Source organism: Homo sapiens, chromosome X (assembly GCF_000001405.40).
Source record: "Homo sapiens chromosome X, GRCh38.p14 Primary Assembly".
Taxonomy (NCBI): Eukaryota; Metazoa; Chordata; class Mammalia; order Primates; family Hominidae; genus Homo; species Homo sapiens.
Genome location: NC_000023.11, coordinates 12290472 through 12316980, shown reverse-complemented (window position 1 = coordinate 12316980; position 26509 = coordinate 12290472). Strand labels below are relative to the sequence as shown.

General features: G+C 39.1%; 1 protein-coding gene across 11 annotated transcripts in view, besides 1 other annotated feature; it reads right to left on the bottom strand.

Moving 5' to 3' along the window:
* Window positions 1-26509, bottom strand: part of FRMPD4 (FERM and PDZ domain containing 4) — a 902085-nt gene that overhangs the window by 407543 nt on the left and 468033 nt on the right. The gene's annotated exons all lie outside the window — the stretch shown is intronic.
* Window positions 6830-7333: an enhancer, noted in NCBI's record as "OCT4-NANOG-H3K27ac hESC enhancer chrX:12327767-12328270 (GRCh37/hg19 assembly coordinates)". NCBI's record gives its function as "activates a minimal SCP1, AML or CMV promoter by ChIP-STARR-seq in naive H9 embryonic stem cells {active_cell/tissue: H9 hESC(naive)}" and the evidence as "EXISTENCE:reporter gene assay evidence [ECO:0000049][PMID:30033119]".

Sequence of the window (26509 nt, the reverse complement as noted above, 5' to 3'; positions counted from 1 at the left end):
TGGATATAAATTTTAACGATTTTACTAACACTAAAAATGCTAAATTGTACATGCCATTTTCAATAATGATCACCATAACTGTAAAAGATTTTTGCTTCTAAACCAGAAAGTGTGATCAGTGCATCCTAACTGCTATGTGCCTGGCTTTAAACCAACCTTTGTAATGTAAAAGACAAGAACACCATAGAACTCTGAGCTTTAAAAAAAAAAAAAGTAAAACAACTCTGGGTTTTGTTTTGTTTTTTTAATGGTACTCTTTGTAATGCTAAAAGAAAGCACACCTAGTAGTGGATTTACCTGGATACCCTTGTGATGGAATACATTTCAGAAGTGAATGCAAAATAATAAGAAAAGGGAAATGTGAAAAGTATCAACAAAACTGGTCATGTTCGATACAAAATAAATAATATCAGCAAGTTTTCAGTTGAATTTAATAAAAGCTATGATGGTTATATCTTCAAACACACAATGGTTGAGAATATTTTTAATTACCACCTAAGCTGTTGCTTTTTAAAAAATCTGGAAATGGGCTGGGCACGGCAGCTCACGCCTGTAATCCCGGCACTTTGGGAGGCCGAGGCGGGTGGATCACCTGAGATCAGGAGTTCAAGACCAGCCTGGCCAACATGGTGAAACCTCGTCTCTACTAAAAAAAAAAACACAAAAATTAGCTGTGCGTGGTGGCATGCACCTGTAATCCCAGCTACTCGGGAGGCTGAGGCAGGAGAATAGCTTGAACCCAGGAGGTGGAGTTTGTGGTGAGCTGAGATCGTGCCACTGAACTCCAGCCTGGGCAACAGAACGAGACTGTCTCAAAAAAAATAAATAAATAAAAATCTGGAAATGGACACACATTATAACAATTCACCCAGTTTAGTAAATAACACCTGAGAGGTATCATTTGAGGTCTATGCTTACATTGAATAATATCTTTGTCTCAGGTTAGCCTCTTGGCTAAAGAGAGGGGTTTCTCACCATCAGCATAACTGATATTTTGGGCTAGATAATTCTTTATTATGGGACTGTGCAGTGCAATGTAAGACATTTAGTAGCATGCCTGGCCTTTGCCCACTAGATGCCAGTTCCATAACCCCTACCCCCTGTTGAGAACCACAACCAAAAATGTCTTTAGACATTGCCAAATATTCCCTGAGGGACAGAAATCAACCCCAGTTGAGAACCACTCCTTTAGATTTAGGTCCTCCACAGGCACAAATCTTTGGCCAAATCTTGCATGAGTATCAAGCTCCCATGACAACATTTTGTTTGTTGCTGCATAGTTCTCATTCTCATCTGTTCATTTTGCAGTCTGCTCTGTGCCTTGTTCTAGCCTCTGGTAATGAGGTCATTGATGTGTCTTGCCTACTTTATCCTTGAAAATCTGCATATTTTTTTATCCACGTTTCTCCTTCTTATTCTCAGGCACCTACATACCCGCCAACATCACCAGGGGGCTTTCCCAGGCTGCCTCTGTTCTTTGCTATGTCTCTTCCTGCAAACCCACCAAATTCAATATATGAGATTACATGAGACTGACACAGGAATGTGTCCTTTCATTCACATTTGGACACATACTGCAGTACAAGTGGTCAGTGAATAATTATTACTACACTAATCTCAAGAGAACAAAATGGAAGATTAACCCAATACTATTTTTATGAAAAGAAAAATTTGGAATTTTGAAATGGGGTTTCCAGATTTCTGTTTGAAAGGAAAATGAAATTCATTTTAATAGTCTTTAGCCAAATTTTCTGGCAAGGAAACTCAAAACTTAATCACACAAGACATTAAATAGTATATTAGTCACTCGGCACAAGTTAAATTTATAACTGTTAAATCTAGAAAGCCATAATCAGAGAAACTACCGAATTTCTAAAGTATAAGTAGTAACACCATCTAATAAATATGACATGCAAAATGGTAGCTACGGAAATTGCTGATCCATGGTGTTTACTCAAATGCCTGCACATTAAAGATAAAGCATTTTTTTCTTTCTTTAAGAATGCATTAATTGTGGCACATTTATGTTTCTTTAGGCAACCCAGCAGCTGTGGTTCCAAACATGAGCCTTTGAGAAATACATTTAAATGAATATTTATAAACTTTTCTCTAGCAATTATATTTAGCAACTGTAGCAGATGCCTCCACTTTCACAGTGTTAGCTGTGTCACTAATTAGAGTCCCTCTTTCATCAAGCTGTCCTCTAGTCACTTGTCTCTTAAGTGGACTAGTGACACATTCAGGAGGGAGAAAGAGACACAGAGGTCTAACAGGTCTATTACCAAGTTAAAAAAAAGTCATAAAAACATACATAAACCATAAGCACTCAATGTTCATAACCTCAGATTTTCCCAAAGCAACTACAGACTCATTTGAAATTGAGATTTCTATGTTCTGAGCATCTCAATGGGATATTATCTCAATTACCACTGAATAATTTTTATGCATCCTTTAAAGCCCAGTTGCTCAGTATAGGGTCCACGACCACCAGACCACCTGCACAGAATCCTCAGTCTCACTCCCAAAACCGATTTTGTAAGTCAGTTCCAGCTCTGGGATCTCCAGGTGATTCTTGGGAAACCTAAAGCTTGCAAGCCACAGCTTTCAGACAATTTAGGCCCACTTCCTTCAGGAAGCCCGCTTCATAACTCCAAACTGGCTTGAATGACCATCTTTGTGATTCCAAGTTACCCTGAGTTCTCTTATATCACTGCCCTTATTACCTGTAGTGAAACTGACTCAGTTGTTTCCTCTCTCTTCACTCTGAACGACTTTTTAAAAGTGTCTTAGATTTACACATTTCTCCATGCCTAATTGATAGAAGGTAATCAGTAATTAGTTGATTGAACAAACACTTTCAGTTTTCTGATAATGAGAACTATATAAGCTTCAATGTCTTGTGTTTTGCCCTGAATTCCAGAAATATTCACCAAATTTGAAACCTAGAACAGTTTTAACATCACTTACTGATACAATGTTTATAGACAACTTTTATTCCTTGGTCACAATTTCCATTTTCTAGCTTAACAAATTTACATTACATTACACACATAACATTAAATTTTAGAGAAGTTACATTTTAACTCTTGAAGACTGAGAAATTTTAGAAAAATTCATGGGGGTGGGGCAGTCAGCTCCATTGAGAGGAAAAAAGAGAAATTAAAAATAGTGGAAAGCACAAGTCAGGTACCAGATTCATACAATAAAAATGAAACTATCCATCCCCCAAGAAATTTAAAGAAGTTGGTTATTAAGATGAATGAAATGAATGAAATGGGGAAAAAACCTCACAAAGACTTACCCTTTCAAAGGGTTAGAGTTTTCCAACTTTCTGGATATTTACATTACAAAAAGAAAATGATCTCTAAAACTTTGATCTTGAGCTCCCTCTCAAAATTCAAAGTTTTGGTAGATTTATCCATTTGCTCATTCCTCCTATCTGTTGATTCAGAGCAAGTCCTAACCCCTTGAAAGTTGATTGTTCCACCAGCTTTCCAGATCTCATCTCCTTGAGAGCTAGCCTCATCAATTAGCCACTTTTCCACTGTGACCATCAGCCTTTTCCTTTCTATTCCCCACTTTGCAAAACAGGTAGTGGGCTAGATCTGGCTTGCAGGCCACAGTTTGCCAACACCTACTGCAATCTCCTCAAGGTGCTATCCCATGATTCCATCCCTAAATCTACAAACCCTACATTTTGTCACTACCCCTGACTCCAGAGTCCTGACTTCTACCTCCTAATCACTAATGACACAAAGATCACTAATGACTACCAAACTGCCTGCTGCAGTCTTCATCTTCTCAAGTTTGAAACTTGTCCCTCCGTGGCTCCCAGGATGAACTCTAGTGTCTTTCTGATTGTTAATTATTACTTCTCAGTCACTTTTTTGTCCCTTTTTTCTCCACCTCCCTAATGAAATATAAGCACTTTCAGGACCTTGTTTTTCCTCCTTCTTTTGAGACATGGTCTACTGGATGATCTCCCTCATTCTCCATCCATCGCTCCCCCATAGTCTTCCCTGACATCCTCTGCCAAGGCACTGGGCTCCCTCCTTTTGTCCTCTCATTGCAGCATGGGTGCGTACTCAATTATTACTGATGGTTTCTTGACCCCAATATTCTACTCTGTAGTGAGGGCAGGGAATGGTGTCAATTTGCAGAGGAATCCCACCATAAGAAAGCACTTGGTCTCTTAAAAGAAGTCATTTATAATTGTAAGTGGTCTGTAATTAAGCTGATAAAATCAAGGACCTTAGGATGCTGTCTTCCAGAAAGAAAAAAGGAATGCATAAACAAGGGCATTCAGTTTCCAGTAATAAGAAGTTTATTTGTGACAGCCTTCTGTGTGAAAACAACTGAACAAGTGGAAACAAACAAAAACATCACCTTAAATCTACAAAGAACAGGAAAGTACAAAAAGTAATGGAGGGCCAGGCGCGGTGGCTCACACCTGTAATCCCAGCACTTTGGGAGGCTGAGGTGGGTGGATCACGAGGTCAGGAGATTGAGACCATCCTGGCTAACATGGTGAAACCCCGTCTCTACTAAAAATACAAAAAAATTAGCTGGGCGTGGTGGCAGGCGCCTGTAGTCCCAGCTACTCGGGAGGCTGAGGCAGGAGAATGGCATGAACCTGGGAGGCAGAGCTTGCAGTGAGCCAAAATCGCACCACTGCACTCCAGCCTGGGCAACAGAGCGAGACTCCATCTCCAAAAAAAAAAAAAAAAAAAAAAAAAAAAAAGTAATGGAGCAGAGTTGAAAAGGAAGCAAATAGGAATTATATAAATAAAAATATAAAAACTAATTAAAAAACCCAATGGACACCTTTAACAGAAAATCAAGCAGAGCTGAAGAAAGAATTATTGAACTGGAAAATGAAGCAGAATAAATTATCCAGAGTGGAGCACAGAGATGTTGGTAAATACAGAAGAGAGGGTAAAAGATATAGAGACTCCAGTGAGAGTATCTAACCTACATTTACTAAAGAGTATTGAAGAGAGGCAATACTTGAAGACGTAAGATCTGATAATATTTTACTCTGATAAAATACATTATTATACAGCTTCAAGAAGTCCAAATTACCAAAGAACAAAGAGTATAAATGAAAAGAAAACACAAAAATTAGAAATGAAATACATATCTAGAAATGTATATATTTTTAAAGTACCCAGAGTAAAAAAGATATTATCTTGAAAAGAATTATGAGACTTAAAGCGGACTTCTCAGCAACAACGGAAGTTACAAGACAGTGGAATTATACCCTTAATGAGCTAAGAGAAAATAATTGCCAACCTAGAATAATATAATCAACAAAAATACCTTTTAAGAATAAAAAGCAAAATAAATACATTTTTAAGGCAAATTAAAATAGAAATAGTTGACCACCAACAGAGGCACTTGAAATGAAATTCTAAAGCATATATATAAACCAGGTTAAAAAAAAAGAAGAAAGATGCCAGAAGAAATTCTTAAGATGCATGAAGAAAAGAAGTTCAAAGAAAATACAAAATATATTTGGGTAACTCCAAACCAACACTGACCGTATCAAGCAAAATTCATCTTATCTTGTGAGACAAATTAAAATACACGATAACAATAACAGCATATACAGTAATTTTATGGAGTTTAAATATTTTTCTTATTCCATGGGAGAAGGATAAAAATATTGATTAACTTTAGATTTTGATAGCTAACAATTCATGTTTGATTTTTTATGGTAACCACTAAAGGGAGAGAAACCTGCCAAGTCAGATAGCCCTGGAAATGTGTCACACCCATACCCAGTCATCATTGGCAGTAGATGCACAAGATAGATGGAAGCAGAAAAGTCCCTGCCTTGGCAAGCCCAGCTTTCCTCTGCGCCCTTTCCCCCTGCCCCGCCAAAAAATATAAGACAACAACCAAAAAAATAGACAAGGAACATGGAATCATTGAAAGAAACACAAAGCACAAAAGAAGATGGTAGATTTAAATCTATGCATGTGAATATCCATCATTACAAAATAGTAAAATAAAAGCTGAAGTTATAAGATAAAGTCAGATTAAAATTTTTAAAATTCCAACTTTATGCTGTTTGTATGAGACATATAAAATTCAAGGCAACAGAAAGAAAGTTCAAGGATAAATAAAGCATCAAGAAATCTAGAGAGGAACATCCACCTACCAGCAGAAATAGGGTGGAAAATTTAATCATTGATTTTCTTGCCTGCTGAGCAGATAAAGATTTCTGATATTAGGGTACTGCCCTAATTGAAAATAGTTACCCATTATGATCAGCTTCTCAAATTAAGTTAACCTGGCTGCATTGGATTGGGGATAACAAAGCTTCATCAAGAATTGCTCCTTTTTTGCTCCATATGAATACATTCCCTATGAATATGAATGCTATTTTATGCTGGATATACCTCAAGAAAAACTACTGATTTATGACAATGATATTTATTTACTGAAGGCAAGTTGAGAAACTGGGTTGCTGATGGTTTCTGAATTTTATTTTAATGGTTTCTGTCAGGCCTCTGAGCCCAAGCCAAGCCATCGCATCCCCTTGACTTGCACGTATACGCCCAGATGGCCTGAAGTAACTGAAGAATCACAAAAGAAGTGAATATGCCCTGCCCCACCTTAACTGATGACATTCCACCACAAAAGAAGTGAAAATGGCCGGTCCTTGCCTTAAGTGATGACATTACCTTGTGAAAGTCCTTTTCCTGGCTCATCCTGGCTCAAAAAGCTCCCCCACTGAGCACCTTGCGACCCCCCACTCCTGCCCACCAGATAACAAACCCCCTTTGACTGTAATTTTCCTTTACCTACCCAAATCCTATAAAACGGCTCCACCCCTATCTCCCTTCGCTGACTCTCTTTTCAGACTCAACCCGCCTGCACCCAGGTGATTAAAAGCTTTATTGCTCACACAAAGCCTGTTCGGTGGTCTCTTCACATGGACGTGCATGAAAGTTTCCTTTCATTTTCACTGAGAATAGGCTAGAAGGGCAGTGCTCAGAACACAAATGAGTAGAATCCAATCTGTGGGGACCTGTTAGCTTTGCTCCTGCACAAGCACAGATGTCCTTTGTGATTCAATCAGCAACTCTCACACCAAGGGGATCGGGAAGACTGTGTCAACAGAGCAGAGCAAATCTGCAACACCAGGACACAATGCAAGGATGCGCTGCCTGAATGCTGATCCAAGGTATCATGTAAGAGGACACCGCGTTTTGTACACTGCAAGTGTACCACAGTAATTTGTTTCCAAAATAGATACTCTCAGATATTAGGCTATAGTATCTGCGTGTTCCATTCCTTAATTCATTGAACAAACATTTACTGTGCACCTATGACTAGGAGTTAGGTATACAATGGTTAGTCAAGAAGATGGCCTGTGCCATCTTCTGCATCACTGTGCAGAAGTCTGCATCACTAAGATGCATCACTGTGTATGCAGCTTAGTAAACGACCAAATGATCAAATCAGCTTATTTTTATATACCAATTTCTCACTTCATAAACAACATGAATTACTATTAAGTACTGCAAACACAAGTTCAAAGATTTTTAAGTAATTTGGTGCCACTCACCTAAGAGGCAAGAAAACAGACCATAAGACTTTTTTTTTATTTTTTTTAATCACTATCAGTGGTTTAAATTTTAACGTCTGCACAGTGAAAATGACTAAGTGTCTCGCAGAGACAGTTACATGTAGACAAATCCCACAAAGACAAACAGAACTTGGCTGTGAGCATGCAAGGGCCTCTGGAGCAAGGGTTGGCAAACTATAGCCCCTGGGCAAAATTCCACAGCCACCTGTTTTGGTAAATAAAGGTGTATTGGAACCCAGCCATATTCACTTGTTTATATATTGTCAATGGCATATGTCATGCAATAACAGCAGAGTTGAGTAGCTGCAACAAGGATTATATAGCCCGCAAAGCTTGACATATTTACTCCGTAGTCCTTTCCAGAAAAAGTTTACTCTAGAAGAAATCCAGGGAGGGAATATCTCAGCCATAAGTAAAATATTTCTAGCTTCTACACACAAATGTTGAACTGCCAGGGGAAGAAAAGCCCTTTCGACATTTGGCGCATGCCACGCTGGCTCCCTGGAGTTGGCTGGGCAGTTATTTGGTCAAGATTTTTATTAAAACAAAACATTTATGTTCATATAATTAAGCCATCCCCCATTTTTTTTTCCTTAGCAAATGCCAATATGGCTCCTGGGCCACCTTCCCTGCCTTGGTAAGCCAGGAACAGGGCACTGCTCTGAAGAGTGCACATTGTTCCCAATTGTCTCTGGGACAGCCTGTTGCCTTTCTGTGAAAGCCTGGTCTCTGTCATCCACCCCCCTACAGTGTCTGTTGTGGCACGCTTCATCAGGAAACTCCAAACTGCTGCCAGCACACCCGCTCCTTCAAGAGCTTATTATACCATTCAATTCAAATGCACAAGCCCGGAGCACAGCAGGGAAGAGAAGTCCAAAGTCCACTTCTCCAGAGCCCAGATATACACATAGAAATGAAAAGATAGGCAAGGGAAGTACATCCTCCTGATCTCTCTGTGTGGTCGCAGTAACAGAATCCAAGTAGCCTTTGAAAATTAGCTACCAAGCATCAAAATTCTTTGGTCATAATGACCCTGAAAAGACAAAAACAAGCTTCCTAAAACTGCATACTGCAGGATCTTCAGGATATAGGATGGTTTCTATGTAAGCTCTGCAATGACCTTGGTGAGAATGTATTTATTTAACTCTCTCAGAGTGAAGAGTGGATCTGTGTAGAATACAAGGTGGATGTTAATGAGATGCCAGAGGATTGTGAAATGGGAAGTACAGCCCGTGAGTTCTTGTATTTCTGTAGCTGGGAACAAAGGGAGCAGGAGCATGCTGGAATATGCTAGGACCTCACAGCTGAGGTAATTCTGTCAAGGTTGTGATGTCCCTGAAAATCAAATGGTCATTCCAAATATATGGTGCCCAACATACTGTGATCATCCCAGCCCTTTAGTTACCATAGCTACACGCAAACACATACCCACACATCTCTACACTTTACCTGCACTTGTCATCTCAGAGCCCTCTCTTACTCCTCTCCCTCCACTGACTCCTCATCCAAACGCTTGCCAAGTCCTCATAACCCTCGGTCTGCCTCATGTGTGCTGTGTGACATTTGTCTCCTGCTTATGCTCATTGGTCCTTAGTGAAGGCCCCTTCCCTTCCACAAGATGATTGCAATAGCTTTCTTTGATTATTTTTACTCCTATTTTTTTATTGCAGGACAATAGACATGCAGCAAAGTGTACTGATCTGAAGTATGCAGTTCGATGAATTTTTACATATGAATACACTCATGTATACAGACTATTTCCAGCACCTCAGAAGGCCCTTTAGGCTTCTTCCCAGTCAATACTTCCCCAGAGGCAACCACTACTATGATGACGAACACTATAGACTAGTTTTGCCTGTTTTTGAACTTCATATATATTGAATTATTTGTGTCGGATTTCTTTTGCTCAACATTGGTCTCTGAGATTCATCCAAGTTGTTACATGGAGCAATGATGCATTCTTTTTCATTGTGCTATACTCATATGATGAAATGCTATGCAACAATGTATTTATGTATTTTACTGCTGATGAATGTTTAAGTTGTTTACAGTTTGGGGCTATGGTGGATAAAGCCTGCAGTGGCCTTTTATTAGTCTCTGACATCTAGTCTCTTCCCTATCATTGTTTCTTCTTGTGCAAGCCACCAGATTATTATCTCCACAGCATAACTCCTGTTATGTGCCTCCACAGCATATACAGTTCCAATGGCTTCTTGCTGGCTTTCTGAGTAAAACTACTCTCCTTGTTCCAACAGTCAAGTTTCCACTACTGAGTTTCAGTCATCATCCAGCCTTTATCACCCATCCCTGTCCTCCATATTTGTGTTCATTCAGCCAAATTAGATCTCTCACCACCAGTCCAGCACACCCCACACTTGCTTTCCCACTTGGTGGCCTTTGTTTTTGCCATGGCTTGGGCCCTGAACGCCTTCTTCTGAATACATTCTCATTTGGGCCTATGGAAAACATCCACCATCTACACTCATCTAAAAATGCCAGATCCTCCAGGAAGTCTTGAGAAAGCATCATATCTCCCATCTTTGAAGTCTGTTGCATTGGAAGATTCTGCCACTATTTCCAGTGGCACAGTAGTGCTAATCCCAGTGACTTCATAATAATTACCTGGAAAACTGAATGGAACAAAGGGTCAACTGCTGTTCTCACTCAAACTTCCAATGTTACTTGTGCCATGTTCTTAAGGACATGCCTTTTTTAGGTTACTGGAATTCCATTTGGGAAGTAAACACTCACTTTCCAAATTGCTTAATCACTTAAGCAGTGGGAGAATCTGGCAAATCACAAGGAAGTAAATTAGCTGGATGAAGTTCAGTTTTTGGTTAATTTTAATAAAACAGTGCTTTAAAAGACATTGAATTTTGTGAGTTTAATAAGAGAAAGAAAATAATTAATAGGAAAGGATCACTGGTTACATTTGGCCTGTGTTCTCATAATGAATATTCACTCTTTGTTCCTTTCCTAAATGCTCGTCACTGCAAGGTCCTGCACTAGGAGCTGCATAGGGTGTAGGTATCAGAGACATGTCAACCTGGCCCTCAAAGATCTCACAGTCTATTGGAGAAAACTGAAAGAAAGATAAGAATTGAATAATTAGTGTAAATACTGCTTTGAGAAACATAAGGAAAACTTTTTGAGACAAAGAAATGCAATCAGTACAGTACTTCTGATTGTGGAAATAATTTCTGTAAAAATAGCCTCTGTCAATTTAGAAACCATAGTGACACATTATTAGCTAACGTCTACTGGGTCAGTCTTTTGGGGGGTTTTGTTTTTTTTTTTTTTTTTGAAGCACAGCATAAGTTTTTAAAATTAACGACCAAAATCTCCTGTGAAAGTATAAAGTGAAGATGTAGCCAAGGTGGTGGTTAGGGTCTTAAGTTTGCATCTAGTCACTCTTGGACTCTCTTGAAATTATCCATGAGACACGGCTGTCAAAGTTTTTTAGAGTAGCCAACCCTGTGCAGGAATTTATATACATTAATCTAAAAACAATTATGGAAGCTGGGCATGGTGACTCAAACCTATAATCCCAGCACTTTGGGAAGCCAAGGTGGGAAGACTGCTTGAGACCAAGAGTTTGAGACCAGACTAGGCAACATAGTGAGACCCTGTCTCTGTAAAAAAAAAAAAAAAAAAAAAACTTAGCCAGCTGTGGTGGTACATGCCTGTAGTCCCAGCTACTAAGGAGGCTGAAGAAAGAGGATCGCCTCAGCTCAGTGATTAGAGGCTGCAGAGAGCTCTGATTGTGCTACTGCACTCCAGCCTGGGTGACAAAGTGAGACTCTGTCTGAAAAAAAAAAAAAAGGATTATGGAAAGAATTTAATCATCAAATCATTTAAGTGCTTTGCTGCCTAGGACACTTCAGCACATTTATGAAGATTTCCACATCTGACTTTTGGCTGTCACCACCTTTGCCATCTAGGGACAATTTTAGGATTCCCTCTAATGCTTCCCTGGTCAGTATGTCTCTGGAGCCACTTGCCTGTCACCTGAGAATGTGCTTCTCTTCTCTCTGTCAGTGGTGGGGGAAGCTTGAGGGTCATTCATCTTTTCTTACCAGAGCTTTATAGCAGCTTGTAGAAATGTTTCCAATTCGCCTACCTCCCTGCCTGTGGGCACAGGCTAACTCTGTGGAAACCTGGGCAGCAGGATTCCTGGGACTATGTAAATCCTCACCTCTCCCCTGTCCTCTATCTACCTGACCCTTCACTGAAGAGAATTGAATTTAGGTAAGTTAAATGTGCATCTGAGGCTACTTCTCTGCATAAAGTCAAAGAAAAATCCTCATAAGAACTGTTTCCCTATTGAGGAGTTCTATTTAAGTCAGAATGTACAAAGAATTTTTTCTATCAACCATGCTTCCAAATTTCCAATCTTCACTACCCCTAATCTTGCGGCGGGCTGCAACTAACTGGTAAAATGGCAGAGTAAGATCTGATCTGCAATGTTCATATTTTACAATAGCCACCCTATTAATGAGGTTCTCTATGGCATATTGTTCTACAACAGATTGTATCATGTCTTCATCATGAATGATTCATTTCATAAGACATGCATCAAGTCAAAATTCAAAATCATGCACCAGGCATCTATATTTTATATATGATTGTAAAATAAAAATCTTTCCAGGGTGGATTTTGCCTCAAGTGAGTGAATGAGTGACGGGAAGGGCTGCCTTAAATGGCTCCACTGGGCTGAAGCAGGCGAGGAGGCTGCTCTTTCTCTGTTGATAAGGAACAGTGACAGGAAATCTACACCTCCTTGTCCCTGGCTTATTTTCTTACTTATAATATCTTGGGACCAAAAGGAGGGTGTGGGTTGTATATTACAGGCTTACTATAAAGCAGTGGTTTTCAACCATGAGTGATTTTGCTCCCAGGGGACATTAGGCAATGTCTGTAGACGTTTCTGACTGTCACAGCTATGGAATGGGGAGGAAACTAGCATCTAGTGTGTAGAGGCCAGAGATGCTGCTAAACATCCTGCAATGTACAGGACACACAGTCTCCAGCAAAAAGAGAATTATCAAGCCTCTAATGTCAATAGTGCTGATACTGAGAGACCTTATTTTACTCTCATGTTGCCACTTTAATTGTCTAAGGCTTTTTGGTAATAGAACACAAATTCCTTCTTAGTTTCTCAGTATCAGAAATAGCCACTTGGGACTTAGTATATTAGAGATAATATTTAGTACTGACACCTTGGTAAGTTGGCATCATTACTTTTATTGTTTACAATAAAAATAAATATATAAATAAATCAATCATGTCATATTCCGAGGAAAACCTCCTAGTTGGAGGTGAAGTGAGTTTTCTCTCTAATTGCCTAGATGACAGTGATCAAGTTCAGTCTTGACTGCTGTGTAGCAGCTTCTCAGCTCAGGACTGTACAGTCTACCTTGAAGAGTTCTCAACTTGGACACGTCCATCTTATGTTGAACATAATACAGATTTAGCTTGTAACCTTTTCCACTGCTTGTGCAAAATAAAGTTTTACTTTGACTTGAGTTTTTTCTCTTTCTAAATATCTGTTTTCCTCTATAGTTAGCACAGCATTTTGGCCTATCCAAGGATCGATCTTTTTGGTTTCCTTTCATATTGCCACTATCAGCCTAACTTACAATTTACAAATTTCTTCTCTTTTGTTTTCCCTTTTTAAACTCTTCTTATTTTGGGTTATTTCTATTCACCCAAGTAATAAAGAGGAAGAAAATACCAATTAAAGGCCTAAATAATGTTTCTCTAGTGATTATAATTTAATACACCCATGGAATACTAGTTAAAATGAGATATCAGTTTAGTACATATAGACCCACACTTTCATAGTCATCAAATATACTATAAACTTATAATTTATCAATTGCTCCATATTCTGAATTTACTATTACAATAAGCACATTTATCTCCTAATTAAAAAGACTAATGAAAAAGAATAAACCAAACCTATCATTTTTATTTCCAATTAAATCTCAATTAAGGTCATCATTATTATAACTGATTAATTTTACTCTCCATCTATGTTATCTGATGTGACTAAAATCAAAATTTCATCTTATTTCTTTATTTAAGGCTTGTGGGAAAAGATCTTACTTCAATTTTTAATATAAATAGTACATTCAGATTTTATCCCCTTTAAAGATTCTTTCTGAATAAACATTTAACTGTTAGCATTGAGTAACAATGCTGAAATTCTTTACATAGAGTTGACATGTTTGTGGTACCTTAGTCCTTGGCAGTGGGCTGATTCCAACAAATGCTGTTTGTGGAGAAAGTTGCATCTCTCCCACACAGAGGTCCTGTAACCTCTCCCCTTCCCTAACATCCTCCAGTTTATTGTATTGGGGCTATTTGAAGACCTTTAACCAAAATGCATGTTCATTGCCAGTATCACTGGCAATGACCATCTTGCAACCATACTGAATGCTTGGTCTTTGCACATAAGTGTCCAATGGCTGTATGTGATAATATTAAATTATAAGTTGTGATGGAAAATTTGAGTTTGTGTAGCTTTATTGCATTATATGTATTGCATTATTCCAAAAAGCCTACCTGGAAAATAAGAATAACTGGTTATAAATTTTTAAATATTCTTAATGATATGAGAGTTGGGGTCTTCTTAAACACTTTTTTCAAACTAAGATTTTATAATGAATAAGCTCTTTGAGCAATAGCCACATTTCTTAAGCTTATCAGAAGGTAGGCAACACATGACCCAAGTATAAGGAATAGACTTGCTATCTAAGAGCTGTCATGATAACCTCAAGGAAGTGTTATTAGCATCTGGGCACAGAACTGTTCATCATGACCCCATCCAAGTGAGCTCAGGACTAGCCTTGCACATCTCACTTAGTATTTCCTTACCTCTAATAAGATGCTAATAACAGTAATTCCTCTAAGATTGTGAGTATTGAGATATTGTATGCTATATGCTTAAGCAGTACCTGACACATAGTAAGCAGTCAATAAATACTAACTATAATAATAATAAAATAAATTACGCAACATCTAATAATTAATAAATTGTTTAGTTTGAAAAAAATAAAGCAAATGTTGGTGAGTGGTAGACTTCACAGGCAAAACAGTCAAGTGAAAATTCCCAATCTGCATATAAACTATCATGACAGAGCAAGATTGCCAAAAGATATGGATACATGTAAGGAAACCAGCCCAGGGCAGGGTGACCCCTCGCAAATAGCAGACTCCTGTTATTTTGCCACAGGTGACCTTCTCCCGCCAGAAGCCAAAAACTGCAGCCTACTTTTCTGAAGTGGTTATCTTGGGACTGAGGTATGGGCTATCTTGGGCTGTTTCCTATTTCCTTCTTTCCAGCTGCTTCCATTTTGGTTTCTTCCATAAGGGTAGGGAGCTTATCCATAAAGCAAGAAGTACTCTGCTGTGTGGAGACAGTAAAAGCCTGGGGATACAAGCTACATACAGTGAGTACCGGACAGGCTTCTCCTTATTTAAACTGCCATGATGAAGGTGACTCATTGTATCCTTAAGCATCTACTACTTTAGGTTTTACTCCAAGGCTACAGAGTTGATATTGAGCCTCATTCTCCAACATGGTATCTGGCACTTACTAGGGATATTTCACAAGTTAGCTGAATTTGAACTTAAACAAATAGCCATTGAGTGTTTACTATATGGTCATCACTTTTAGCCAGGGGTACAAGTGTCCTTCAGAAGTAGGATGTATGATTTTATTTAAGTAAGTATAATACTATGCTGTATTTGTAAAAATCTGTGAAATGTCAAAGGAACATAGAAAATGCAATGACTACACTGATTTTTGGAGGACTGGTGAGAGTTTCTAGAGGAAGTGATGTTCAGACTGGGTCTCGCAAGACAGACTAACATGGGAGAGGAGGAAAAAGAGAACTGAAAGAAGAACCTGTGTGAGACAAGGAGCAGAGCATCTGTATATTGTTTGGGGGTGGCCACTGCTGCAATCAGAGTGGATGGATTGGGAGAAGCTGCAGAAGTAGGTTGGGGCCAGATGATAAAGACTTTTACAAGCTCTGCTAAAGATAATAGACTTCATCCGTAGACCGATGCCAGGCCAGTTCAGGTTTTGAAATAAAGAAAGACACGATCTGATTTGCTTGTTGGACCAGGACAGTGCAAGGGTATGGGAGAGACTGGTGCTACGATGCCAGCTGTAACCAGCTGTAGTGAGTCAGGGAGGAGACAGTGATGCCTTGGTATGTGGAGAAGTGAGGACAAACTTGAGACACCTTGAGAAGGCAGAAGCCACAGGGCTCCCCACCCCTTGACTGTGGAAAGTGAGAAAGAGAAAGCAGTTATAGACCACGGAGGTTTCCAGCCCAGGGCAACTGAGTGGAGGAAACACTTCTGCTCTTTGGTGAAATACAGAAGAAGGGGCAGGACACAAGGGAGTGCGCTGAGGTCAGCTGGAGATGTGTTAAGGTTGAGAGACCTGTAGGATGGCAAGGTGGAAGGAGGCAACTGAACTGCTCTCACCTTTTCCTCATGGTCCTTGGATCCAATCATCTATTCCAAGTCAAAGCTTGTTCCAGAGTCTCCTGGATTAAGACCCTGTGGATCTAACATTGGGCCACCTCCACCACCACCTGGTTCTAATCACATCCCAAGGCAGTTTTCCTTCTCAGAGCTTTTTAAGTCATCTCTTTCTTGAGATTTTCTTTTTTTCTTGCAGCTCTCTGGCATCTGTTAGTTCAGGAACTACTTTTCAGATTACCTTGCACCTATCTCAAACCCCTTGCATTCTTTTCTCACATTTGTTCATAATATGGAACACCACAGAGTAGTGCATGATTAGAAATCCTGAAAGAAATCTAACATGTCCTTTACTCCAGCATGTCACTTTCCAAGTGGAAACATCTGAAGGCCAGAAAGAGTGGCATGAAGTCCACATCACCTGACTTTTATTTTCAGACCCCATTCTCCTGCTTCCCCCTTTCATTCATTCCTCTTTCGAATTCCCTGTCCCCTTTCCATCCTGCCTCCAGAGCCTTACTGGCCCTCCCCTGGTTGTTCATAGGCCATATGGACTGCCCATCCAACAGCCCTTGATCAGTAAGGACTGGGACACTGAAAACTCAGTCAGAGAATGCCCTTCCCACCTTCCATTGTCCTTCTCCTTGTCATTTACACTGAAGTTATTCCCACATTGAAATCTTCATTAGCCCCTCTGGGCCAGTGTCAGAGAATCCAAACTCTCTGTCCTCTAAGGTCTAACCCCACTTTGGCTTTTCAGATGCATCTACACTGAAGCTCCCTCCCCGACCCTCCTCTGAGCCACTCTACCAACAGCAAGTCCCTGCGAGTCAGAATCACTGTGTCCCACTTCTGTCCTTTGTGTCTGTTTTCACGTGATTTCCTTAACTTGAATTTTGTAAGCTTTTATGTTTCACCTTTAAACAATTTGGCCATTGTTCCAGGTCTATCTTGATTATCCCCTACTTTAAGAAACCTTTCCTTTCTTTTGCTTTTGTTGGAGAGTTTTAGAATTGACTTGTGAAATCCACTAACCTTCTATCCTCTTCTTCTCCTGTGTTCCCACGGTATTTTATTCACATTCTTCCACGCATCTATTGTCAGCATGACTTACTTTTGTGTCCTACAAAACTAAAAGTTCCCAGAGGGCAGGGACTATGTTTGGTTCATTTGTGCATTTCTCATAACCTATGGATACTTGATTGTTGAATATTACTGAAATGACTAATCCTAATCATAAACTGGAGTACTAGGAAGTTCCATAACCCTGTTGAGATAGAGAAGTGTCTTGGGGTGCTTTACTTTTTTTTTTTTTTGTCATTTCTAGAGAAAAATAACTTCCAGAATTTATCAGAAACAAGGAACTCTGGTTTTGGGAGTATTTTTGTCTTGGCGCTTATTCCTTATGTCCTTTTTAAGATGAGAAATTCTTATGAAACTAGGGTATTCGAAAGGCCCATCAAATTTTATAGGTTAACTAATAGCCATAAACATCAGAAATTTGACTTATTTATTCATGGGATAACTTTTCATTCTTCTTCTTCTTCGTCTTCTTCTTCTTCTTCCTCTTCCTCCTCCTCCTCCTCCTCCTTTACCTCCTCCTCCTACTTCTCTTCCTCTTCTTTACTTCAGAGAAAGTTAATCACTACTGCTTGGAAAGAAAAACTAACTTAGATAAGCTAGGTGATGCAATTTTGCCAAACTTATATTTCTAAAGTACAAATTTGAAGACAGTTTCTTAAACTGAATGCATGTGCTCTGTGTGTCTCATGCTGTGAATGAAGACAAATACGTTATGAGTCCCATATAGTAAAAGCAAGACTGTACTGAGTCTTCTGACATTTATTCTTAGATGTTTATTTCCACTGTTGCTTGGGTGTTGTTTTGAGAGTTTTCTCATGGTCCTGGAAGGTCATGCTTATTTTTCTAGGCTAAAATTCTTGCAGCCATGCTCTATGGATAGATTTTCAGTCCTCTATCGCCCATCTGGCTTTGAGTTGATGGTCACCCAGATGTGCTTAGCTCTCTCTATATGTAAGTACTTCTAACTATACACAGAGAGAGGTGGAGGGGCCATTGGCCATGCACCTTTTAGGTTGGATGCTCTCGTTTTTATAACAGAATTTTACACTAACCCCTGCCCAATTTATATTCAAATCAGATAACTTAATAAACATCTCAGAGTTTCTCCCCTTAGGTTTTGGCCAACAGCAATGACCTTGACCCCTCTACTGTCTAATATTTATCAAAAGCCCTGCAACGAGAATGGTTTTTGGAGGACTGCCTAGAATATCTACATATAAGACCTCCATTTCTCTAAACCCTTCCTGCACCCATGATAGATACTGCTACTCAATAACAGAGCATTTCCTTCTGAGTCTGAACTTAGCTATGAAACTTCCCAACATAGTTATTAGAACAGCTACTATAAGGGAATCAGAGCTGATATGCCAGTTGAAACTTGCTTGCCAAACTAGGAACAGTGATCTAAATGGATTAAGGTAGAACATTGAGAGCTTGTATATTCAGTTGAACAGAAGTCTTGATGATTCATAAAATTGGTTTAATGAATTGTGCTTTGTGACTGTGACAACAGTTTACATTGAGGGGATCTGTGTGTAGCTCCACAGCACACTTATTAGCACCCTTAGCTCACAACATCATCTTTATGAACAATCGGGATTTCTCTCAGGACTAAAAATCAAGAAAACCTGTGTTCTTAAAAACAAACAAACATAAACAGCAAAAAACCTGGTTACTTTTAATCTTATCAACATGGGAAAATCTTACAGTCAAATCTCTGGCCTACCTTTAACAGAGGCACTTTCCTCTCTTCTCAAAAGGAGAAAGTTCAGGATCCTATGGCCTACATACTTAATTATTAATATGATTATTAGCTGCATCATTTTCCTTTCATTAAGCTACCCTTTCCCCAGTTTCTTTGACTATTTCTTTCTTTGACCCAGTGTTGCCTGTATTTTGGTAGGCTGCCAGAAATCATTCATGGAGGGAGGTAAGATATATGGCATGATCAAAAGTGAGGGATGTATCCCTGCCAAGAAATAGACTCCAGGGGGGGCTAATTCTTTTTCTTCCCAACAGTATTTAATCACTCCAGCCATTCTTTGTTTCTATTTACAATCATCTATCTCCTACAATGCTTCGTTCTCTCTCACAATTCTCAGTTCTTTCCCATGATTCCCTGTCACCCACAATTCTGTTCTCTTCTACAAATCCCTGTCTCTCCCACAATTCTGCCTTCTCTCCTATAGTTCTCTCGTCTCCCACAATTTCTTATATTTCCCACAATTCCCTGTATTTTTCACAGTTCCCTGTCTCTCCCACAATTCCGTATCACTCCCCACAATTCTGTTTTTTCCCACAATTCCGTTCTTTCCCACAATTCCCTGTCATACTCACAATTCTGTTTTTTACCATAATTCTGTTTCTCTCATAATTCTATCCTTCCCATGATTCTGTTATGATGCAGCAAGAAGGCCATAACCAGAGGCAGCCCCTCAACCTTAGACTTCCCAACCTCCAGAACTATGAAAAATATATCTCTTCTTTATAAATTACATAGTCTGTGATATTCTATTACAGCAACAGAAAATGGACCAAGACAGTTTTGCCATTTTTAAAAAGCCATCTCAAACATTGTGCTTAGTGCTGCAGTAGTTTTACATTACAGTAGGAGCTTCTTAGCTCAGGTTAAACTGGTAGCATTTGTGTAGCGCTATCCTTTATCACTTAGCTTAGTTCCTGGTGTGTAAATGGACAGTCAATGAAGCAGTCAGTAAGCAGACACTGAAGGGATAAAGGATTCAATGCATTTCCCAGGAGTGAGCAGTGAGCTTCACAATCTGGGAGAAACACTCAGATAAGTGTGAGTACCTGTCGAAGCACACAGCCAACATGGGGAGGGACAGGAACTACCCCATGCCCACCTGTCCTGCCAAGGGGCAGCTGTTTCTTCCATGAGCATGGCCAGGTCCTGGTGGGATGCCCCAGAGGACTGGGGTGTGCCCAGCTATATATGTCCCTTTCCCCATCCCAGCCTTCTTCCACCAGCATGGAGATCACCAGGTGACTATACCTCATTAGGGTTTTGTGCACTTGAAGGGAGAACATCTACCCCAGGGACGCTGGGGGATCAGGAGCCGAAGGGAAGTTCCCTGGGAGAAGTTATGGCCAGGGTTAGTTGAATCTAAATAACTCAGGCAAGTCCAACCTGCTGTGAAGTAGAGATGAAGGCAAAGGGCTATGAACCTGAGGTTGCAGTTCCTGAAGCCAAGGCTCAGCAAGCTGGAAGTGACTCAGGTCTGTATTGCTGATCTACCCAACCCCCACTCCCATTTCCAGTATACCAGGGACTGTAGACAAAGTCACAGCCAACCCTGGGGCATGGGATCAATATCACACTTGTGTTACGTGGACACAGCTACCTTCACTCCTCAATTCCTTCTTCTGGCCTTTTTCATTTATGTCCTGTCCCACAGCTGTAAGAGAAGAACCTGAATAACAGAAACATTGCTGGTGGCTGTGATTCTTGTGGCATTCAGCATTAAATACTACTGCCCTTAGGTTAGTGGAAATTTATTAATATTAATGACAATGTCCTTGCCTTCTGTGATTTTTTTCTGGGAAATTTTGAGAAATCCAAGGAGAAAATGCAGATGTGAACACCACTTATGAGCAATGTTTTGCTCTAAAGCAGTGGTTCACAATCAGGGATGGTCACGTTCCCCAGGGGACATTTGACAATGTCTAGAAATATTTCTGATTGTCACGACTGGAAGCGGGGGCACACTACAGGCATCTAGTGGATAGAGATCAGGGATAGAGATCAGGGACCCTACATCACCCCCCACTCCAAGAAAAAATTATCCAACCTGAAAAGTAAATAGGGCTTGCTCTAAAGGAAAGGGTTTTTAACTGCCACAGTTAATTCAACCTATATTTATTGAGCGTCTATTATGTGCCAGACACACATCAGCCATTGTGTACTGCCAGCCCTCTCCACTAAATAACAAAATTGCTATCCATCCAGATACTAAAGCAAGGTTCCCCACAATCCTCAAAAACTTGGAAATAAGGAACGTTCATATTTGAGAACTAAACTTTAAAATATGTAAATAATGAATTAGAATACAGAAATGCAAACTCTCCTTAAAGAGGCAAAAAGACTCTTAAACTGAATAGAAACAGTTAAGCAATGTCAACACCTACAGAGCAAGTGGGTGTCTTTTAGAAGAGGAGTTAGTCATCCAATGTGGGGATGCAAGTAAAATGGTAAACTAAGAAAAAACTAAAAGGAGGAAGGTAAGGAGAAGGAATAATAAATACACGATATTTAAACAATAAATATTTACTAAATTCTAAGTACCTTACAGAGGTTATGTCATTTGGTCTTCACAAAAATTCTATGAAGTTGTTACTATTATAATAAACAGCTCTTTCTAGAAGGCAGACCACAGCAGAGTCCATGCATACACTTGCAAGAAGACATGGGCTCCCTCCAGACAAATCAAATATCCCTATTCTGATGGGTATATCCAGAACTATAAAAACCTGATGCAATTCAACAGTCAGCTGATATTACTAACACCCCTTATTCTGATTCCAGTCTCATCAAAGCAGCCTTTTGATAATTTGGTTTCTCCTATAGATTCTCTGCAGGGATACAGTGAGCAGGTCAAGCTAACATGAACCTCCAGATGACTTGAGAGGTCTCATGATTCCTTTATAAGCTGGAAGCATGATTATTATTTGGCTTGTCTCATAGATTGCCTATAGGGAAAGGAGGTATTGATATAAGAAAGTGAACATTCCAGTCTGTTTGAGGACTCCATTTCTCATGGTAGATTCATACACAGACATTTCAATAGAAACCTATGTAAATAATCTCTGTGTGTTTACATAAATAACTATGAGATACACATTTTTTTATACTTGAATCCTATGAACTTGAGAAATAGGATTCCATCCTTGGGAGGCAAATTTATGCTCAGTCTAAGAATGAAATCTCATTCTCACAGCATTCCTTGAAGACCAGTTCCTTGATCAGCGCTATCGCCCAGCCTTCTGTATTCATTTATTCATTAAAAAGATATTTACCAGGACTACACTAGGGAGTGGGGATATAGCAATGACTAGGGTGACACAGTCCTTTCACTGGTGGAGGTACACTCTGTAGTGTGGGAGCCATCAATCTTACCACTGACCCTTCCCAGGTTAGATCAAAGACATGTCCAGAAAGAGAATTCACCATCTAGTGAAATCTCTGTGACATACATACATCATATGTGGGGTAACATCTTGGTCAAATACAATCTCTTTAACTGCTACATACCAATCATAAGAAAAACCCATTATAAAACTCTCTCTCTCTCTCTCTCTGTGTGTGTGTGTGTGTGTACAGTTATGAGTTTATAGCCAAGTTTTTCTCAAGTGTTTGATATTCATACAATGTTTCAAACACTTTCTTTGAGGAACAGATTTAATTACTTAGATCTCATAGTTTATTTTCTAAGACTTGTTGGGCTCAATATCTATGTCCCTGTTTGGTGTGTATCTTTTGTTGCCATAAACTGTCATTAGCTTTTCAAAAGGGCATTTTATTTCATCATATGGAGCAATAGTCTTTACACATTCCTTATTCTAAGGAACACTGGAGTTCTAGGGACACCCTCCAGGGACACCTGGCAAATTGAGTGCCTCCCACAACCCCCAAACGACGCCTCCTTGCAGCAGAGCAGTTGGGTAATAGCTAGCTTTTTTGAATAATAGACACCAGGACATGAAGGGAAGAAGAAAGTGAGGGAGGAGATTTACAAAACACTGATGTAGAGCACAAGCTTATGTGGTTCAAAAGACCATGTCTTATGCTGTGTTTTAGCACTTAATCACCACTTCAGATCAGTGAATGCCTAATAAATATTTCCTCATTTATTAGTCTATTCTTTCCATAAGTAGACAGCATTGCTTTAAGGGCTACGCTATTATTCTTAGTCAAAGATAGCTTTAATGAAAACGATGTTTACTGACAAATACATAATAATCAACTTTACATATAGAACAAAAAACTAGGCTTGTAAAACAATCCCCGTGTTTTGTAATTATGATACAACAGCATGCAACTTAAAGACAATAAAGTAGAAATCTTTAATTCATACCACAATTAATACTAAAATGGTACATAAAATTTAAAAAGCACTGCTATATGAGTTCTGAAAGTGAAAATACTTAAAAAGCACAGGCTGACTTGCACCAAATTCAAGCAAAATTACCTAATATTAGTTCCAGAGTCAGCAGCCTTGGCTTACGCAATACAAGTCAATCTTAATTTATTATTCTTTCTTGTTGTACAACAGTGGCCGCCCATTACAAGAACAATTTAAAGAAAAGCAAAGAATAAATTAAATGTAGAAAGAATCCAGTGTTTCTGTGAGTATTAAAATGGACAGTGACACTACAAGTGAATTAAGGTACAATTCTTTCTGGCTATTTCAAAGAATAGAACAATTTGCATATTTATTCTCCACTGTATAAGACAAGTTGGATTTCAAATTGTTCCCCTTCTCCCGGCAATAATTTACATTGGATACCAATTGCAACACAGCAAGTGGACTCCGTGAAGTAAATCTACTTGCCAGAACTATTTCTGCCACATAATTCTTAGCATTCTTTCACCCAGCCTCGCTTTCCACATTCCTATATTATTATTACTGCGAGCTGCGTGTTTAGCCTTCTAGCTGCAAAGTTGTGGAAGCACATACTTGAAATAGCCAAAAATATAGTTGAAATTTTTGTAACAACACACCATAGTCAGTCAGCATTAACAACCTGATAGGTGATGAATAGAAAAAAAATGCAGTCACAGTTACTATCCAGCTCTCATTAAAAAAAAAAAAATCCATATTCTATATTCCCTGGAAGAATATTAAGATGTATATGTACATGCCTTTGTGTAGGTACATACACACCAAAACCCTTTATCTTTGGATTGGATTCACTGAGAGATTCAACATTTGGCCCAGTTATCTCAGTTATATTCCTATATACTCAAATGACAGATCATTCAATATTTTACCTAATGCGTGTCAAGAGACTTCACAACCAAGGAAGCATGGTTTGTTTATAATAATGCATATGAAAAAGTTGCCATTTAAACTGGCATAACCAGTTTGAAAAATACTGGATGAGGATCCTGAAGTATCTGACCTCAATTTGTTCGTTATGTGACCCTGAGCAGGCCAGCTAGTGACTCCACACTTGTTTCCTCAATTACAAGCTAAAGATGAAAAGAATTACCTCATATCATTGTCCTAAATCTAAGTTAAATAATGAACACATAAATACATCTCGATTGACATGGAATACACAAGCACAAAACATCTATTCTACCACCATTATAAAATGGTGGTAGAATAAGGGTGAGGCACTGAATTCATTGTTGATACTTTAGAAATAAGGCAACAATAATAATAGGCAACACCACCAAAAACAATAATAGATAATACTTATTTGCTATTTACTGTGTCTCAGGAAATGTTCTAAGCACTTAGCATACATTAACGCCCACAACAACACTTTTCAGTTCGTACTATTATTGTATACTACATACTATACTATCTATAATCAGAATTGCTGCTACTTCCTAAAGTATCCAATCCAAAGCGAAGTCCTGCTTCCTTTCCCCCAAATCACTTAACACTAGCTCAAATTCTATAAGAAGTGTTTTCTAATAATCTTTTAACTGAGACTCCCCATGGTTCCCCAGGATGTGTGTTCTCTCTCACTGCAATGGGCAGTAAATCCAACTTGTTCAGCTTCAGGTGTGTTCTAAGTCACTGTCTGGAAAGCACTGAAAAACACGTATTTGCCAAGCACAGGCCTATGAATTTTTATTCCCTAGGCCACAGACAGCAGAGTTTTCAAGCAGAGAAGTGAAATAACAAGTGCTGTTTCTTTTGTAGGAAAATAACTCTTACAGTAATGTGGTAACAAACTGAATTAGGAAGAAGCTGGCAGGATGGAGCCCGAGTAGGATACAACAACCCCCAGCAGAAAGGATGAGGGTAAGACTAAGACCACAAGTGCCATCAAAAGGAAAGGAGACCAGATTTGGGATACACATCCAAGGTAGAACTAAGAAATGATCGGAGACTGAGGGAGAGGGGAGAGGCTTTGCAATGTGATCCCTAGTGAGGAAACTGGGTGAACTCTGCTACCACTGACTGGTTTCAGGATTAGGAGAAACAAGAAGAGGTTTAGGAGAAAAGATCATTCATAAAATTTGGCAATGATAAAGTTGATACTGCTGTAGGATACCCATGTAGAAAATGTCCTGTATTTGGAAGTATAGATAAGGAGATGGGGAGAGAATCCAGTGCCAATGATTTAAGAGTAATTAGCATATAAATGACATTTGAAGCCATGAGGACAGATAAGATCATCCTGGGATAGAATGTACTATGAGGCCTTAAAGGGAGCCGAGGACAATCCTCTGGAAACCATAACATTTGATGGAAATGGAACATCCAGCAAAGAATAAGAAGAGTCAAAGAAGTATAGAAGAATTAAGATAAAGTGAAGAACTAGAAACCAAAAGGAGAGAAAAGTTCAGGTAGTACAAGTGGTACTGACAAATGTTACCGTGCAGTTCAAGGAAGATGAAGATCAAAAACTGGCCTTTGGACTTGACAGGGAAGCTTCCTAGGAAAACCATTCAGGAGAGAGGCAGCAAGGGAAGTGGGTGAGAGGAAAAGCCCTTTTATTTATTTTTTTACCCAACCAGGGATTTGAGCATGCTAATTAACCATGCAGATGCAGCCAGGGAGCTAGGAAGATCGAAGATTTGCAAGAGAAGTGAACATTAAAGTCACAAGATGAAGGGGAGGGAATCCAAGGCTTTGGGATGGTTAGCACTGTAACAAAGAAACCCCATCTTCTTCCAAAACAAGCCATAACAATGTAAGCAGTCCATCTTAATGTATTTAAGGGATTTTTTTTTTTCCGATTACCTCCATGTTTCTGTAAAATATAAGGTCACCTATATGTATGCACATGTGTAGGGGGTGGTAGAAATTACAATGGGGAGTGTCAAGAACAGATTACATTAATAAAGTGATACAAGATACACATACATCTTGCTGCTTCTGTCGCTTAAATACATCTTCAAATAGCCTTTTATCAATAGAAAGAATAGAAATATAAATATGAGTACTACACAATATTAAAGAAAATACATGTGTGTCTCTCATTATTGCATTTTCCAAAAGTACCAGATATGTGAAATGTTTTACTGCTCCTAAAAAGAAAACTCATCAATATGTGGAAGTGGCTTTTCTGTTAATTTGAAAAGCAATGGCAAAGTAACACACCATCATCAAACTGCACTAGGCACTTTAG